Here is a 4,745-nt window from a genome sequence, read left to right as displayed (position 1 = left end):
TAGGATTCTTCCAACCAACATACACATTTTACTGGAGAAAAATTTTCTTCAATCATCTGGCTTTGACCGTACCACTCTCTGGCTCATAAACTTCCAGTGGTCTACATACTCCTCTATATTTCATTCTGCTCCTTGGTTAGTGTTTGCAGTCCACCACAGTCTGAATCCAGACAGGCTTATCTCCCATTATCCCTCATAAACTCCAGTTCTAGACACACTTAGCTTTTGCAGTTCTCAGAACACTTTCTTCTGTGCTTTTGCTCATTCTTCCACCTGGAATCTGAGCACCAAATTTTTTGCCTATTCATTCTTTCTTCAGAACCCAAAACCAAATGTCATTTCTTTCATGAAGACTTCCCTTATCTTGTTGAATGAAAGTGATGTCTCTTTCCTCTGAATTCCTGAATCAATCTTCTTCTTCTCTGACGTGTAACTGATTCTTAAAAGTGTTTTGTACCTTAACTTTTTACATATAACCACTTAGCTCCCACATTTTTTTCCAGGAGCTGTACTCTATTCATTTTGACATTCTCATTGGATCTAGTGCTTTGTGTTTTACTAAGTAAATATTTATTGATGGAACGTGTTTGGCGTACTCAGTTTCCATAGTTTGAGTAAATTTGTTGTTAGTTTAATTAATCAAATTCTCAGTAAAGAAGAAATATCACAGATTATTAGACCAATACAACAAAATCAGGAAGCATTTTTTTTTTTGAACACCTGCTATGTTCCAGGCAACCTGTTAAGTGCTAGAAGAAGTGGTTCTGACAAAGAAACTCCTGGCCACTAGAGAAACTAAGTCAGCAAAACAATTCACAGGGAGTGCCGGAAGACAAGACCCCTGCTCAATGAAGAGGAGTAGAATGTAGCTTTCACGACTCTTTTGAAACTGACAATGCCCCATTAGATACAGAACATAAATCTTCTTTACAGTCCCTTATTTTCTTGACTTTTTTTCTCCTCAATGAACTCTAAAATCAATCAATTTTTCCTTCTTGTCTGTTGACCTGCTCTTCCTCTCTAGCAGCTTTAGAATTTACTTTTTGTCTTTGATGCTCTTAAACTTTACTATCAAATGTCTGTATATAGGAGTTTTTTTTAACCCTTGTGTATTTCTTGTTGGGCAATATGTATCTTTGAAATCAGAGGTGTTCTATCTCTAAATCTAATAAATTATCAGGTATTTTATGAAATATTTATTCTCTCATTTACTTTTACCTCTCCTTCCAGCTCTTCTGTTATCCATATCTTAATATTTCTTCTTCTATCCTCCATATCTTGTGACTTTTATATATTCCATCTTTTATGCCTCTCATTTGTCTTCTGAGAGAAACTGTTGACTTGATCTTTCAATTTACTAATTTATGATCGAGATTTATCTGTCATTGGACATATTTATGGAGCTCTTAATTTGCCATATTTCCTCAGATTTTAAATTGACTTCTTTTTATATCTTACAATTGTTTCATGTTATCAATATTCCAACTTACTTATCTGAGAATGTTTATTATGTGTATTTTAAATTTCTGTCCTTATTGGCCTATTAATTCTGCTTCATACACAGAAAATTTAGTTTCATCCTTTAGTCTTTCACAATGCTTGTAACACCTCAAATAGTTCATGATTTCTTTTTTTCTGAGCTTATCTTGCCCTGAGGATATCAACTATCATGTATTTTTTTTTTTTTTTTTGAGATGGAGTCTCACTCTGTTGCCCAGGCTGGAGTGTAGTGGCATAATTTCGGCTCACTGCAACCTCCGCCTCCTGGGTTCAAGCAATTCTCCTGCCTCAGCCTCCCGAGTAGCTGGGACTACAGGCACATGCCACCATACCCAGCTAATTTTTTGTATTTTTAGTAGAGACAGGGTTTCACCATGTTAGCCAGGATGGTCTGAATCTCCTGACCTTGTAATCCACCCGCCTTGGCTTCCCAAAGTGCTGGGATTACAGGCGTGAGCCACGGTGCCCGGCCTGGTCATGTATTCTTTTTTTTTTTTAGACGGAGTCTCGCTCTGTCGCCCAGGCTGGAGTGCAGTGGCGCGATCTCAGCTCACTGCAAGCTCTGCCTCCTGGGTTCACGCCATTCTCCTGCCTCAGCCTCCCGAGTAGCTGGGACTACAGGTGCCTGCCACCACGCCCAGCTAATTTTTTTGTATTTTTAGTAGAGACGGGGTTTCACTGTGTTAGCCAGGATGATCTCGATCTCCTGACCTCGTGATCCGCCCGCCTCGGCCTCCCAAAGTGCTGGGATTACAGAAGTGATGGACATGTATTCTTTAAAGAAGGAGTAAAAGTCTAGACCCTAGCCTGTGCCCTTCTGTGAGAATTTAGGAAGTAGGAGGTAGGGGGCCAACAAATCAGGATGAAAATCGTCTGATGTTACCCTCAGAGCTTGATCACTCCTTGTTCTATACAAAAACACATCTCACTAGGTTACAGTGACCCTCAGGGAATTCTCCTATATCGTTGATTCTGGATTCTGTTCTTATCCAAGGGCTTTATCTCTTGATTATAATCCACCTGGCCATTGGGCTGTAATGCAGGGAGGTAGAGAGGGAATGCTCAAGAACCCACAAGTCTGCCTGCACTTGTAGCCTTCCCCTCTCCAACCCATCCAGGCCTCTGCACTCCCTGGTATCATCCCCACTGGTAATGGCTGGAATGATACTGCCTCATGCTTTTCTGTCTCCTCATGATTTGGAAGTGGGTAATCAGCACATTTTAAAACCTTACTCCCAGCCTTTTGCTTTTCTACTACACACACTTTTGTCCACCCTGGGCTGCTCATCTTTTCCCTCTCCATACTCAGACCCCATGATCCAAACGCTGTCTCCCCAGGGATATTGCATCTATTTTTTTTTTCTGAGATCATCAACCTCCATTTTCCTTCTGTGATGTCTCCAGAGTTGACTCCAGAGGTGTGTTAGGGTTCACCAGAGAAACAAAAGCAATAGAGAAAAAATGTAAATACATGTTCTCAGCCTCCATAATCACATGAGCCAGTAGTGAGATTTATTATAAGGGATTGGCTCATGTGATTATGGAGGCTGAGAAGTCCCATAGTCTGCAGTCTGCAAGCTGGAGGCCCAAGAAAGCCAATGGTGTAATTCAATCTGAGTCTGAAGGCCTGAGAATCAGGGAAGCTAATGATGTAAATTACAGTCTCAGGGCAGGAGAACATTGGATGAGATGTCCTAGCTTAAGTAGTGAGGGAAGATAAAAAGGAGGGAATTTCTTCTTCCCCCACCTTTTGCTCTATTGAGGCCTTCAGTGGATTGAATGATGCCCAACCACATTAGAGAAGGCAAACTACCTTAGGAGTTCACTGATTCAAATGCTAATCTCAGACATACACATAACAATGTTTAACTTGGGCACCCTATGGCCTACTCAAGTTGACACATAAAATTATCACAAGGAATATCAAGCCAACAGATTATTAGATCATTAGCTTCTCTCAGAGATTTGTATATAATTGCCCAATTAAAAAATCTTACCCAGTTTTAATGTTCATTTGCCAATGAGCTATTTTAAGGAGAGTTTCTTTGCTTTTAATATGATATTCAAGATTTGGTCTTGGCTGATGTGTTCTTGGCTGGTGATACAAAGAGCATATCCAACTTAAAGGGGATATACCTGAAGCTCAGGCTTCCAAAAAAGCCTTACACAGTCTATCAGTCAAGATTCAATCAGAGAAAGAAACAACCACCAGGATATGTGTGTGTGCCTATGTGTGCATCCGTGTGTGTGTGTGTGTGTGTGTGTAGATAGATGGTTAGAGATTTATAAATTATATTTTAGGTTATACATAAATATACATAGATGTGCTGGGAATGGATCCCAGCACACACACATCTATTCCCACCCACACACACACAGTATTGCAAGGATATAGATAGCAAGATAGATAAACAGATACACACACATATATCTCAATGAGACAGAGAGAAAGAAGTTACAAAGATTTGTTCTTACACAATTATAGGAGCAAGCTAAACAGTCTCTGTAAGGCTGTTTCCTTTACATTTTATACTAGAGCTTGAAATCCTCAAGGCAGGGAGTTGAGTGGGAAGATGGAGTTATGGACAGGAGAACAAAAACAAGCTGGAACCCACCAACACAAGTTGGAAGCCACAATCACAAACTGGAAACTGTCAGTTCTCCCTGCTGCTAACCTTGATGATAGTCAGGCCTTGCCAGAGAAATTAGTCCTCCTCATCACTGTGCTTAACATCTTTCCCAGAAGTTAAAGAAGCTAAAGGAGAATTCAGGGGAAGATAAAGCAGTTGCAGGCCCTGCTGCTGTCCCGACACCAATGAAGTAAGTCAGTGCATAAGCGCATGAGCTGCAGACATGCCTGGTGACCCTGCCTGGACTTTTGAGAATATAAAACAATATGGCTGCTATTTTGGTTCCACATTCCAACTGTAATGCAAAAAGAAAACAAAACTAGTCTCTCATGGCCCTCCTTACCCTGTAACATATAAGGAAAAGAATTCTGGGAAATGTAATTTGGCCTAGTCAAATCTCTATGATTCTTTGTTATCTCATCATATGCCATCTGCAAGTCCCATGAAATTAAGAATTGAAATCAGGATCTTGAAGAGATATATATTATCACTTCTATGTTCACTGCAGCACAGTTTACAATAACCAAGATGTGGAAACAATCTAAACCTCCATCTGTGCGTGAATGGATAAGAAAAGGTGATATACAATGGAATGTTATGCAGCCTTAAAAAAGA

General features: G+C 40.1%; 1 annotated feature.

Moving 5' to 3' along the window:
- Positions 3,005 to 3,710: an enhancer, noted in NCBI's record as "OCT4-NANOG hESC enhancer chr1:88188659-88189364 (GRCh37/hg19 assembly coordinates)". NCBI's record gives its function as "activates a minimal SCP1, AML or CMV promoter by ChIP-STARR-seq in naive and primed H9 embryonic stem cells {active_cell/tissue: H9 hESC(naive and primed)}" and the evidence as "EXISTENCE:reporter gene assay evidence [ECO:0000049][PMID:30033119]".

Source organism: Homo sapiens, chromosome 1 (genome assembly GCF_000001405.40).
Source record: "Homo sapiens chromosome 1, GRCh38.p14 Primary Assembly".
Classification (NCBI taxonomy): Eukaryota; Metazoa; Chordata; class Mammalia; order Primates; family Hominidae; genus Homo; species Homo sapiens.
Note: the sequence above shows the minus strand (reverse complement) of the source record. Positions and strands in the feature narration are given on the sequence as shown.